The sequence below is a fragment of the Homo sapiens genome, chromosome X (assembly GCF_000001405.40).
Source record: "Homo sapiens chromosome X, GRCh38.p14 Primary Assembly".
Lineage (NCBI taxonomy): Eukaryota > Metazoa > Chordata > Mammalia > Primates > Hominidae > Homo > Homo sapiens.
In genome coordinates, this window is record NC_000023.11 from 1,612,461 (window position 1) to 1,626,038 (window position 13,578).

At 51.0% G+C, this 13,578-nt stretch overlaps 1 protein-coding gene across 3 annotated transcripts in view, besides 1 other annotated feature; it reads left to right on the top strand.

Annotated features, from left to right (window-relative positions):
• The window catches only part of ASMT (acetylserotonin O-methyltransferase), a 28,023-nt gene continuing 17,043 nt past the window's right edge, over positions 2,599-13,578 (top strand). For 2 of the 3 annotated variants that reach the window (NM_001171038.2, NM_001416525.1), the window contains exons 1-3: positions 2,599-2,808; positions 10,679-10,853; positions 11,809-11,938. In NM_001171038.2, the coding sequence (NP_001164509.1) occupies positions 2,740-2,808; positions 10,679-10,853; positions 11,809-11,938 (374 nt within the window). In that variant the 5' untranslated portion in view covers positions 2,599-2,739. The remainder of the gene's footprint in view (positions 2,809-10,678; positions 10,854-11,808; positions 11,939-13,578) is intronic. The other variant, NM_001171039.1, reaches the window with a different exon arrangement.
• Positions 6,050-6,687: an enhancer, noted in NCBI's record as "OCT4-NANOG-H3K4me1 hESC enhancer chrX:1737403-1738040 (GRCh37/hg19 assembly coordinates)". NCBI's record gives its function as "activates a minimal SCP1, AML or CMV promoter by ChIP-STARR-seq in naive H9 embryonic stem cells {active_cell/tissue: H9 hESC(naive)}" and the evidence as "EXISTENCE:reporter gene assay evidence [ECO:0000049][PMID:30033119]".

A 13,578-nucleotide genomic window follows, 5' to 3' on the forward strand; every position in this document is an offset into this window, starting at 1 on the left:
CAGACGGATCACCTGAGGTCAGGAGTTCGAGATCATCCTGGCCAATATAGTGAAACCCTGTCTCTACGAAAAATACAAAAATTAGCCAGGTATGGTGGCAGGTGCTTGTAATCCCAGCTACTCGGGAGGCTGAGGCAGAAGAATCGCTTGAACCTGGAAGGTGGAGGTTACAGTGAGCCAAGATTACACCACTGCACTCCAGCCTGGTGACAAAGCGAGACTCTGTCTCAAAAGGAAAAAGAAGAAAAAAGAAAAAGTGTCCGTTCATGTCCTTTGTAAGACTCCACTCTCTAGTAACCGTGTTCCTGCCCTTCTCAATTCCTAAGGTAATCGCCTTAACTCAGATCCCTGAGAAATCCCCACAGCAGGCAGAGATTTGGTCTCCTGACAGTAGCTTTGGGATTCCATTAAGCAAATATGATTGGGGGCCAGCCCCTTCTGTCTCCAGGTAAGGTGTCCCCAAGGACCCTTCATCGCTCTGAACTTCAAGGATTTCTTTTTCTTTCTTGCTTTCCTTCTTTCTTTCTTTCCTTCTTTCTTCCTTCTTTTCTTTTTCTTCCTTCCTTTCTTTCTTCCTTTCTTTTTCTTTCTTTCTTTCCTTCTTTTTCTTCCTTCCTTCCTCCCTCCCTTCCTTCTTTCTTTCTTTCTGTATCTCTCTCTCTCTTTCTTTCCTTTCTTTCTTTCCATTTCTGTCTCTCTCTCTTCTTTCTTTTCTCTTCTTTCTTTCTTTCTTTCTTTCTCTCTCTCTCTCTCTCCTCTCCTCTTTCTCTCTCTCTGTTTCTCTCTTTCTTTCTTTCTTTTTGATACAGACCTCACTGTGTTGCCCAGGCTGGAGTGCAATGGCCCAATCTCGGCTCACTGCAATCTCTCCCTTCCAGGTTCAAGTGATTCTCCTGCCTCAGCCTCCCAAGTAGCTGGGATGACAGGCACCTGCCACCATGCCCGGCTAATTTTTGTATTTTTAGTAGAGACGGGGTTTCACCATGTTGACCAGGCTGATCTTGAACTCCTGACCTCAAGTGATCCTCGCACCTCAGCCTCCCAAAGTGCTGGGATTACAGACATGAGCCACCTTACCTGGCTAATTTTTATATTTTTAGTAGAGTCGGGGTTACACCGTGTTAGCCAGGCTGGTCTCGATCTCCTGACCTCATGTGATCTGCCCCACATTGCTGGGATGACAGGCTGTGTTTATATTTTTCCCCTAGAAAATCACTCTGGAGGCTGGGAGTGGTGGCTTACGCCTGTCATCCCAGCAATTTGGGAGGCCGAGGTAGGCGGATCAGCTGAGATCAGGAGTTCAACACCAGCCTGACCAACATGGAGAAACCCCGTATCTACTAAAAATACAAAATTAGCCGGGCGTGGTGGTGGGTGCCTGTAATCTCAACTACTGGGAGCCTGAGACAGAAGAATCACTTGAACCTGGGAGGCAGAGGTTGCGGCGAGACATGCATCCTCAGAAATGGGGTAGAGACCTGGCACGGTCACTTTTTTTTTTTTTTGAGACAGATTCTCGCTCTGTCGCCCAGGCTGGAGTGCAGTGGCGCGATCTTGGCTCACTGCAACCTCAGCCTCCCGGGTTCACACCCATTCTCTTGCCTCAGCCTCCCAAGTAGCTGGGACTACAGGCACCCGCCACCACGCCCAGCTAATTTTTTGTATTTTTAGTAGAGACTGGGTTTCACTGTGTTAGCCAGGATGGTCTCGATCTCCTGACCTTGTGATCCGCCTGCCCCGGCCTCCCAAAGTGCTGGGATGACAGGCTACCACGCCCAGCCCTGGCACGGTCACATTTTAATTATGTGCAGGCATTTAGATTGTCCAAATAAACGTTGCAAGATATCTAGGCTGAAGTGGGAGGATCTCTTGAAGTCAGGAGTTCAAGACCAGCCTGGGCAACATAGTGAGACACCCCCCCCCCACCCCGATCTCTACAAAGAATTAAAAAATTAGTCAGGCACATTGGCTCATGCCTGTCTTCCCAGCACTTTGGGAGGCCGAGGTGGGTGGATCACCTTAGGTCAGGAGTTGGAGACCAGCCTGGCCAACATGGTGAAACCCTGTCTCTACTACAAATACAAAAATTAGCCAGGTGTGGTGGTGTGTGCCTATAGTCCCAGCCACTCGAGAGGCTGAGGCAGGAGAATCGCTTGAACCCAGGAGGCAGAGGTTGCAGTGAGCTGAGATGGTGCCACCGCACTCCAGCCTGACGACAGAGCGAGACTCCATCTAAAAAAAAAAAAAAGGGGTCTCACTATGTTGCCCAGGCTGGCCTGCTGGCATCTTGATGTTGAACTTCCAGCCTCCAGAAGTGTGAGAGAACTGGTTTCTTGAGCCACCCAGTTTGCAGAAATTCGCACGACCCCCAGAAATGAATGCAGGACCTGCTCAATCCATAAGACGATTAATGAGTGCTAATGATGGGTGAGCATATTGGTTTGGGATCAGTTCTACAGCTGATGAGTCAAGGGCTCGGGGGGGCCTGATGCAGACTATTTTAGGGCTGCGGAGGGGCGCCCAGAAAGCCAGGGAATCGCCACACGCTTTGTGATCCCCTAATACGGTTAATGCAAATTTCTAGAGTGATCCGTCTTTGTTTGAGTACTGGGCAGGCAGCAGGGAGAGTCAGGCAGCAGCTGTGAGCGGGTGGCTCTTCCCCACCTTGCCAGCAGGCTCTGTGCTCCTTGAAGCAAGCGCTCCAGAGGCTCCGGAAGCCACGGCTGGATTGGAGACAAGATGGGATCCTCAGAGGACCAGGCCTATCGCCTCCTTAATGACTACGCCAACGGCTTCATGGTGTCCCAGGTAGGATACGCTCTGTGGGACAAGGGGGAATAGACTTCCGTTCATCACACTCACGTTCCATTGTTGTGTCAGTCGAGAAAAATGATGAGTCTCCATCATTTTAGGAGGTTTATTTTCCACCGTGAAAGACGTACACCCACGATGTAGCCTCAGGAGTTCCTGAGGACATGTGCCCAGGGTGGTCTGGGGACAGCTTGGTTTGATACATTTTACAGAGACATGAGTCATCAATCAATGTATGTAAGTACATTGGGCCAGTCGTGGTGGCTCACACCTGTGATCCCAGCACTTTGGGAGGCTGAGGCGGGCGGATCACCTGAGGTCGGGAGTTCGAGACCAGCCTGACCCACACAGAGAAACCCCATCTCTACTAAAAATACAAAATTAGCCAGGCTTGGTGGTACATGCCTATAATCCCAGCTACTTGGGAGGCTGAGGCAGGAGAATCGCTTGAACCTGGGAGGCGGAGGTTGCAGTGAGCCGAGATCGCACCACTGCACTCCCGCCTGGGGGACACAGCAAGACTCTGTGTCAAAAAAAAACCAAACAAACAACAAAAAAAAAGAAACAAAGCTTAAGATGAAATACATAGGATTAGAAACAAGACAATGTTTATTGAACTGCAAGTGTTGAAATTTTTAAAACATTTCATGATAGAGTAGTATATGTGGTTGTTTATTAACCCAGTAAATAATTACACTGTGCGTTTATCATAGAGGTGAGTTTTGAGGGTTCACCCGTAGAGGAGCAACACCTCATTCCTTTTTTTTATTTTTTTGAGCTGGAGTCTCACTCTGTAACCCAGGCTGGAGTGCAGTGGCACGGTCTTGGCTCACTGCAACCTCCGCCTCCAGGGTTCAGGCTATTCTCCTGCTTCAGCCTCCCGAGTATCTGGGATTACAGGCACCCACCACCACGCCCGGCTAATTTTTGTATTTTTAGTAGAGATGGGGTTTCACCATGTTGGCCAGGCTGGTCTCGAACTCCTGACCTCAAGTGATTCACCTGCCTCGGCCTCCCAAGGCCTCATTTCTTCTTCTCACAGAATAACATCGTGCTCAGTGAAGGAAGGCTGACGTGAAAGGCCCCATATGGTATGACTTCATTTATATGAAATGTGCAGAGCAGGCAAATCCTTCGAGGTGGAAAGTGGACTGGTGGTTTGCAGAGGCTGGGCAGGACTGCGGAGGGAGTGTTTAACGGAGACAGTGTCCCTTTTTGGGGTGATGCAAATGTTCTGGAACCCGGCGGAAGTGCTGGCTATACAACATCACGAATGTACTAAGTGCCCCTGAATTATGCTTGAAAAGGGTTAATGATGGCCGGGCTCAGCGGTGACACCTGTCATCCCAACGGTTTGGGGGTCCGAAACGAGGGAATCGCTTTAGCCCAGGAATTCGAGACCAGTCTGGGCAACATAGTGAGACCCCCCATTTCTACAAATTCTTTTTTCTTTTTGAGACAGAGTCTCGCTCTGTCGCCCAGGCTGGAGTGCAATGGCACGATCTCGGCTCACTGCAAGCTCCACCTCCCAGGTTCACGCCATTCTCCTGCCTCAGCCTCCCGAGTAGCTGGGATTACAGGCACCCGCCACCACGCCCGGCTAATTTTTTGTATTTTTAGTAGAGACGGGGTTTCACCGTGTTAGCCAGGATGGTCTCGATCTCCTGACCTCATGATCCGCCCGCCTCGGCCTCCCAAAGTGCTGGGATTACAGGCGTGAGCCACTGTGCCTGGCCAAAAATATTTTAAAAATTAGCCAGGTGGGGTGGTGCACACCTGTAGTCCCAGCTACTCAGGAGGCTGAGGCGGGAGGATCGCTTAAGCCTAGGAGATGAAGGCTGCAGTGAGCTATGATTGCACCACTGCACTCCAGCCTGGATGACAGAGCAATACTGAGTCTCTTTAAAAAATAAACGGCAGGGCGCGGTGGCTCATGCCTGTCATCCCAGCACTTTTTGGGGTCCAAGGTGGGCGGATCACTTGAGGTCAGGAGTTCAAGACCAGCCTGGCCAACATGGTGAAACCCCGTCTCTACTAGAAGTATAAAAATTAGCCAGGCATGATGGTGGGCACCTGTCATCCCATTTACTCGGGAGGCTGAGGCAGGAGAATTGCTTGAACCCGGAGGAGGTAGAGGTTGCAGTGAGCCGAGATTATGCCACTGCACTCCAGCCTGGGTGTCGCAGTGAGACTCTGTCTCAGAACAAAAACCAAAAACCAGCATCATCGTGAAAGGGGGTCGTGTGCTGACGATATTTTGAGATGTCTGCAGCAGCTCTCGTGTGACTTGAAAATATCTGTGGTTTCTCTCCGTCAGCAAGCCACCGGTTTTTTTTGTTTGTTTTTTTCCTTTTTTTTTTTCAGACAGAGTTTCCCTCTTGTCGCCCAGGCTGGAGCGCAGTGGCGCTATCTCGGCTCACTGCAACCTCTGCCTCCCGGGTTCAAGCGATTCTCCTGCCTCAGCCTCCCGAGTAGCTGGGAGTACAGGCGCGTTCCAACACGCCCAGATAATTTTGTATTTTTAGTAGAGATGGGGTTTCTCTATGTTGGTCAGGCTGGTCTCGAACTCCCAACCTCAGGTGATCCTCCTGGCCCCCACACTTTCTTCTATCATGGCTGTGGTTTGCCAGTACGCTCATGGTTGAAGGGAACACCACATCTTAGGAAGAGGTAGTGAAAATTAGAGTGAAGTCTCTTCTCCTTCCTGGTTTGTAGAGCCCGTGAATTTTACCTCTAGGCCCCCAAGGGTTAAAAATACCTATTCCCCAGCCACTGATACGCAGAGCGGCCTCCGCCTACGGGGTTCAAGCGATTCTCCTGCCTCAGCCTCCTGAGTACCTGGGATTACAGGTGCCTGCCACCAAGCCTGGCTAACTTTTATTTTTATTTTTATTTTTATTTATTTTTCTGATATGGAGTTTCACTGTTGTTGCCCAGGCTGGAGTGCAGTGGCATGATCTCAGCTCACTGCAACCTCTCCCTCCCAGGTTCAAGCAATTCCCCTGCCTTAGCCTCCTGAGTAGCTGGGATTTCAGGCGTCCACCACCACGCCCGGCTAATTTTTGTATTTTTGGCAGAGACGGGGTTTCATCATGTTGGCCAGGCTGGTGTCGAACTCCTGACCTCGGGCGATCTGCCTGCCTCGGCCTTCCAAAGTGCTAGGATTACAGGTGTGAGCTACTGCCTCTGGCTAATTTTTTGTAGTTTTGGTAGAGATGAGGTTTCATCATGTTGGCCAGGCTGGTCTTGAACTCCTGACCTTGGGCAATCTGCCTGCCTCAGCCTCCCAAAGTGCTAGGATGACGGGCGTGAGCCACTGACATCCAGCTAATTTTTTGTATTTTTGGTAGAGACGGGGTTTCATCATGTTGTCCAGGCTGGTCTCGAACTCCTGACCTCGGGTGATCTGCCTGCCTCAGCCTCCCAAAGTGCTAGGATTATAGGCATGAGCCAACATGTCTGGCTAATTTTTCTATTTTTTAGTAAAGGTGGGATTTCTGTTACTGTCCCAGACAACAGTAACTTGCTACCTTTGCCTCCTTTGACCGCAGGCCTCCTGCTGGGGCTATTGACTGCTCATTCAAAGACTGTCGCTGGTTCACAGCGGTGTTCAGGGAGGTGGTCTGGTGGGTTCTAAATCTTGGAAGAGCAGTCACTTTAAGGCACATGATACCATGTCATGGGAGTTGTCAGAAGTTTCACAGAACCAGAGTTAATGCAGAGTTAATACCACCTTAAGAGGATCAAACTTAGTACACCCTTAACAGAAACAATTAGCTAATGCAGCTTTCATAGACCAAGAGTGAATATCGCCTTAAGAAGATAACATTTAGTATACCCTTGGCCAGGCACAGTGGCTCACGCCTGTAATCCCAGCACTTTGGGAGGCCGAGGCGGGCGGATCACAAGGTCAGGAGTTCGAGACCAGCCTGGCCAATATGGTGAAATCCCATCTCTACTAAAAATACAAAAATTACCTGGGCGTGGTGGCGGGCACCTGTAGTACCAGCTACTTGGGAGGCTGAGGCACGAGAATGGCGTGAACCCGGGAGGTGGAGGTTGCAGTGAGCCGAGATCACGCCACTGCACTCCAGCCTTGGGGGCAGAGCGGGACCCTGTCTCAAAAAAAAAAAAAAAAAGTGGGGGCTGGGGAGGGAGAGCACTAGGACAAATACCTAATGTAGGTGACGGGTTGACAGGTGCAGCAAACCACCATGGCACATGTATACCTGTGCAACAAACCTGCACGTTCTGCACATGTACCCCAGAACTTAAAGTATAATAATAATAATAATAATAATAATAATAATAATAATAAAAAGTCTTTGGGAGCAGAAAAAAAAAAAGATCAAAGTTAGCGTACCCTTAACAGAAACAGTTAATGCACCTTTCATAGACCAAGGGTGAACTCAGCCATAAGAAGGTAACATTTAATATATGCCCTTAAAAGAACAATTAATTGAGACAACCCCAAAAGGAATGAATACAACTTTAATGAATAAAACAAAACAGAACGCTAATTTAAAAAGGTTAATACGGGCCGGGCGTGGTGGCTCATGCCTGTAATCTGAGCACTTTGGGAGGCCGAGGAAGGTGGATCAGGAGGTCAGGAGATTGAGACCATCCTGGCTAACACGGTGAAACCCCGTCTCTACTAAAAATATTTTAAAAATTAGCCGGGCGTGGTGGTGGGCGCCTGTAGTTTCAGCTACTCGGGAGACTGAGGCAGGAGAATCCCTTGAACCCGGGAGGCGGAGCTTGCTGTGAGCCGAGATCGCACCACTGCACTCCAGCCTGGGTGACAGAGCCAGACTCCGTCTCAAAATAAATAAATAAATAAATAAATAAAAAAGAAAAAGGTTAATACAACATTAAAGAACAAGAATTAATATAGCTTTTTTTTTTTTTTTTTTTTTTTGAGACCTAGTCTCACTCTGTTGCCCAGGCTGGAGGGCAGTGGCATGATCTCAGCTCACTGCAACCTCCGCCTCCCGGGTTCAGGCGATTCTCCTGCCTCAGCCTCCCGAATAGGTGGGATTACAGGCGTGCACCACCATGCCTACTTTTTGTATTTTTAGTAGAGACGGGGTTTCACTATGTTGGCCAGGCTGGTGTCGAACTCTTGACCTCAAGTGATCTGCCTGCCTTGGCCTCCCAAAGTGCTGGGATGACAGGTGTGAGCCACTGCACCTGGCCTAATATAGCTTTAATAGAAAAGGAGCTAATACAAGCTTAGAATAATAAACTTTATGCAGACTTACTGAAACAAACAGTCAATGCAACCTTAACCAAACAGGAATTGATAACAGTTTAATAAAAAAGCTAATACCACTTGAATAGAATATATCTTACTACAACCTTCATAAGAAAAACAACTAATACACTTTGGGAGACCGAGGCAGGCAGATCACGAGGTCAGGAGATCGAGACCATGGTGAAACCCCGCCTCTACTAAAAATACAAAAAAATTAGCCTGGCATGGTGGCGGGCACCTGTAGTCCCAGCTAGTCGGGAGGCTGAGGCAGGAGAATGGCTTGAACCTGGGAGGTGGAGGTTGCCGTGAGGCGTGATCGTGCCACTGCACTCCAGCCTGGCGACAGAGCGAGACTCTGTCTCAAAAAAATAATGATAATAATAATAAACAAATAAAGATACCAAAAAAAAAATACAAAAATTTAGCCGGGTGTGGTGGCACGTGCCTGTAATCACAGCTACTCGGGAGGCTGGGGCAAGAGAATCACTTGAACGCGGGAGGCGTAGGTTGCCGTGAGCCGAGATTGCACCGCTGCACTCCAGCCTGGGTGACAGAGCGAGACTCCGTCTCAAAAAAAAGAACAAACAAAAAGATAGTGGTAGGTGTAATCTGTGTTTCTTTCCCCATGCTGTTGAAATAAAGCTAACTGTAAGTATCCTGGAAGACACGTGGCCTGAAGAAACCATCTTTCCCTGTGGTTTGTTTATGACTTCCTGTCACTAAGGTTGCCTGAGCCTTGGCACCCATCCAAAACGATGTGTGCAAGAAAAGAAATGCATGGATGATTTATTCTTGTTTTATTTTTTTTTTGAGATGGAGTCTCGCTCTGTTGCCCAGGCTGGAGTGCAGTGGCGCGATCTTGGCTCACTGCAATCTCCACCTCCAGGATTCAAGCAATTCTCCTGCCTCACCCTCCCCAGTAGCTGGGACTACAGGCTCACACCACCATGCCCAGCTAATTTTTATACTTTTAGTAGAGATGGGGTTTCACCATGTTGGCCAGGTTAGCCCTGAACTCCTGACCTCAGGTGATCCGCCCACCTCGGCCTCCCAGAATGTTGGGATTACAGGCGTGAGCTACCACGCCTGGCTGATTTATTCATTTTTTATAGTTTGTGTATTATTTGAAGGCATTACCTGATTACTGCTTTATTTTATTTTTATATGTATTTATTTATTTATCTATTGAGACGGAGTTTCGCTCTTGTTGCCCAGGCTGGAGTGCAATGGCACGATCTCGGCTCACCACAACCTCTGCCTCCCGGGTGCAAGTGATTCTCCTGCCTCAGCCTCCCGAGTAGCTGGGATTACAGGCATGCACCACCACACCAGGCTAATTTTGTATTTTTAGTAGAGATGGGGTTTCTGCACGTTGGTCAGGCTGGTCACGAACTCACAACCTCAGTTGCTCCACCTGCCTCGGCCTCCCAAAGTGCTGGGATGACAGGCGTGAGCCACCGCACCCGGCCTATTTATTTTTTTTGAGACGGAGTCTCACTCTGTCCAGCCCAGGCTGGAGTGCAGTGATGCGATCTTGGCTCACTGCAACCTCTGCCTCCCGGGTTTACGCCATTCTCCTGCCTCAGCCTCCCGAGTAGCTGGGATACAGGTGCGCACCACCATGCCTGGCTAATTTTTGTATTTTTAGTAGAGACGGAGTTTCACCATGTTGGCCAGGCTGGTCTCGAACCCCTGACCTCAAGTGATCTACCCTCCTAGGCCTCCCAAAGTGCTGGGATTACAGGCGTGAGCCACCACGCCCGGTCCTCTGTCTCTGTTTTTGAGACAGAGTCTTACTCTGTCACCCAGGCTTGGAGTGCAGTGGTGAGATCTCGGCTCACTGCAACCTCCGCTTAGCAGGTTCAAGCGATTCTCCTGCCTCAGCCTCCCAAGTAGTTGGGATTACAGGCATGAGCCACCACGCCCGGCTAATTTTTGTATTTTTAGTAGAGATGGGGTTTCACCATGTTGGCCAGGCTGGTCTCAAACTCCTGACCTCAGGTGATCCACCCACCTCCCAAAGCGCAGGGATTATAGGTATGAGTTAAAGCACCCAGCCAGGAGACATTTTTAAATGAGGTTGCACGGCTATGGAAAACAGGGTGGGGCCAGGCGCAATGGCTCACGCCTGTCATCCCAGCACTTTGGGAGGCCGAGGCTGGCAGATCACGAGGTCAGAAGTTCGAGACCAGCCTGGCCAACATGGTGAAACCCCATCTTTACTAAAAACACAAAAATTAGACAGGCATGGTGGAACAGGCCTGTAATCCCAGCTACTCGGGAGGCTGAGGCAGGAGAATGGTGTGAAGCCGGGAGGCAGAGGTTGCAGTGAGCCGAGACCGCACCACTGCCCTCCAGCCTGGGTGATACAGTGAGACTTCAACTCAAAATAAATAAATTAATTAATTAATAAAAATAAATAAATAAATATGACTGTTTTCCATAGTGGTGCAATCTCATTTGACTCTGTCTCAAAAAAAAAAATAAATAAATGAATAAGAATATAAATAAAACAATGCTTTCCTCCCTAGCCTGCCATGGTATGGGGTGTTTCTAAGACTGTGGTTCCCAGGAGGCTGAGCCCTGACCTTTTATTTCCGCTCCTGCTCCAAGGTTCTCTTCGCCGCCTGCGAGCTGGGCGTGTTTGACCTTCTCGCCGAGGCCCCAGGGCCCCTGGACGTGGCGGCAGTGGCTGCAGGTGTGAGGGCCAGCGCCCATGGGACAGAGCTCCTGCTGGACATCTGTGTGTCCCTGAAGCTGCTGAAAGTGGAGACGAGGGGAGGAAAAGGTGAGGACACGGGCGTTTTGAAGGAGGCATTTTACATAGACACCCTCTGCAGCCCACGTGTTCTGTAAAAAGTGAAACAGTCTCCATCCTGGCTCACACAGTGAAACCCCGTCTCTACTAAAAAAAATACAAAAAATTAGCCGGGTGTGGTGGCGTGCACCTGTCATCCCAGCTACTCAGGAGGCTGAGGCAGGAGAATGGCATGAACCCGGGAGGCAGAGGTTGCAGTGAGCCGAGATCGTGCCACTGCACTCCAGTCTGGGCGACAGAGCGAGACTCCATCTGTATTTGCAGGTTTGGGGGTCGTGTGGTTTTTGTGGCAGCTACCGACCTCTGCCCTGGGGACGTCAAAGCTGCCAGAGTGTGAGACCCAGGCTGGGGGATTCCTTGAGCCCAGGAGTTCGAGACCAGCCTGGGCCACGTATTTTTAATAGAGACAGGATTTCATCACGTTGGCCAGGCTGGTCTCGAGCTCCTGACCTCAGGTGATCCACCAGCCTGGGCCACTTATTTTTAGTAGAGACAGGATTTCGTCACGTTGGCCAGGCCGGTCTCGAGCTCCTGACCTCAGGTGATCCACCCGCCTCGGCCTCCCTAAGCGCTGAGATTACAGGTGTGAGCCACCACGCCCGGCCTCAATAAGTTATTTTAGACATTCTGTGGAATGTAACGTACGTTTCCTCTCGTGGCTCATCTGCCTTTGTACTTGCTGCACCCAAACTCCCGATGGGGATTTGTACAAACCGAACCCGACGGGGGTGCTAGCCGCCCCAGGTCACCTTTGCGCCTTCCACAGAAGGCTCCAGCTGTACAAGGCAAGAGGAAGACCCCATCTCTAAAGAAGAGATGGGCTTGTAATCATGTTGAAATCACGATGTTGTCGAGCTGGGGAGCGTCCGCCGGCAGGAACTCGGAATCTCACTGCTTTTTCCCTGTTTTTTTGTGTGTGTTTCAGCTTTCTATCGAAACACAGAGCTGTCCAGCGACTACCTGACCACGGTCAGCCCGACGTCACAATGCAGCATGCTGAAGTACATGGGCAGGACCAGCTACCGGTGCTGGGGCCACCTGGCAGACGCCGTGAGGTGGGGGCTGCCCCCAGGCAGATGCTGGGAGGTGGTGGCTGCACCCAGGCAGATGCTGGGAGGTGGGGGCTGCCCCCAGGCAGATGCTGGGAGGTGGTGGCTGACCCCAGGCAGATGCTGGGAGGTGGGGGCTGACCCCAGGCAGATGCTGGGAGGTGGGGGCTGCACCCAGGCAGATGCTGGGAGGTGGGGGCTGCCCCCAGGCAGATGCTGGGAGGTGGTGGCTGCACCCAGGCAGATGCTGGGAGGTGGGGGCTGCCCCCAGGCAGATGCTGGGAGGTGGTGGCTGACCACAGGCAGATGCTGGGAGGTGGGGGCTGACCCCAGGCAGATGCTGGGAGGTGGTGGCTGACCACAGGCAGATGCTGGGAGGTGGGGGCTGACCCCAGGCAGATGCTGGGAGGTGGGGGCTGCACCCAGGCAGATGCTGGGAGGTGGGGGCTGCACCCAGGCAGATGCTGGGAGGTGGGGGCTGCACCCAGGCAGATGCTGGGAGGTGGGGGCTGACCCCAGGCAGATGCTGGGAGGTGGGCGCTGCACCCAGGCAGATGCTGGGAGGTGGGGGCTGACCCCAGGCAGATGCTGGGAGGTGGGGGCTGCATCCAGGCAGTGACCAAGTCTCAGGACTACCGCCAGGGGCTGGTGAAGTGGCAGTGGAGGAGGTGAAAGGGAAGGTTTCTTTTTCTTTGTTTTTTCTTTTCTTTTCTTTCTTTTTTTTTTTTTTGAGATGGAGTCTTGCTCTGTCACCCAGGGTGGAGCGCAGTGGCGCCATCTCGGCTCATTGCAAGCTATGCCTCCCGGGTTCACGCCATTCTCCTGCCTCAGCCTCCCAAGTAGCTGGGACTACAGGAACCCGCCACCACACCCGACTAATTTTTTGTGTTTTTGGTAGAGACGGGGTTTCACCATGTTAGCCAGGATGGTCTCCATCTCCTGACCTCGTGATCTGCCTGCCTACATGGTGGCAGGCACCTGTAGTCCCAGCTACTCAGGAGGCTAAGGTGGGAGAACTGCTTGAACCCAGAAGGCAGAGGCTGCAATGAGCTGATTGTGCCACTGCACTGCAGCCTGGGCAACAGAGCAAAAACTCTGTCTCAGAAAGAAGGAAACAGAAAGAGAGAGAGAGGGGAGAAGGAAGGAAGGAAGGGAGGGAGGGAGGGAGGGAGGGAGGGAAAGAAGGGAAATAATGGAAAGTAAGAGAAAGAAAGAGAAGGAAGGAAAGAAAGAGAGAGAGAGAGAGAAGACCTGGACTCAATAGAAAGGAGTGTCTGGGTGGCCGGACGCAGTAGCCCATGCCGGTAATCCCAGCACTTTGGGAGGCTGAGGCGGGCGGATCACGAGGTCAGGAGATCGAGACCATCCTGGCTAACACGGTGAAACCCCGTCTCTATTAAAAATACAAAAAATTAGCCGGGCGTGGTGGCGGGCGCCTGTAGTCCCAGCTACTCGGAGAGGCTGAGGCAGGAAAATGGTGTGAACCCGGGAGGCGGAGGTTGCAGTGAGCCAAGATCGCACCACTGCACTCCAGCCTGGGCGACAGAGCGAGACTCCATCTCAAAAAAAAAAAAAAAAAAATAGGGGTGTCTGGGTTAACATAGGGGGTTGTGGAGACCAAATTCTTATTATGTAGATGAAATCTC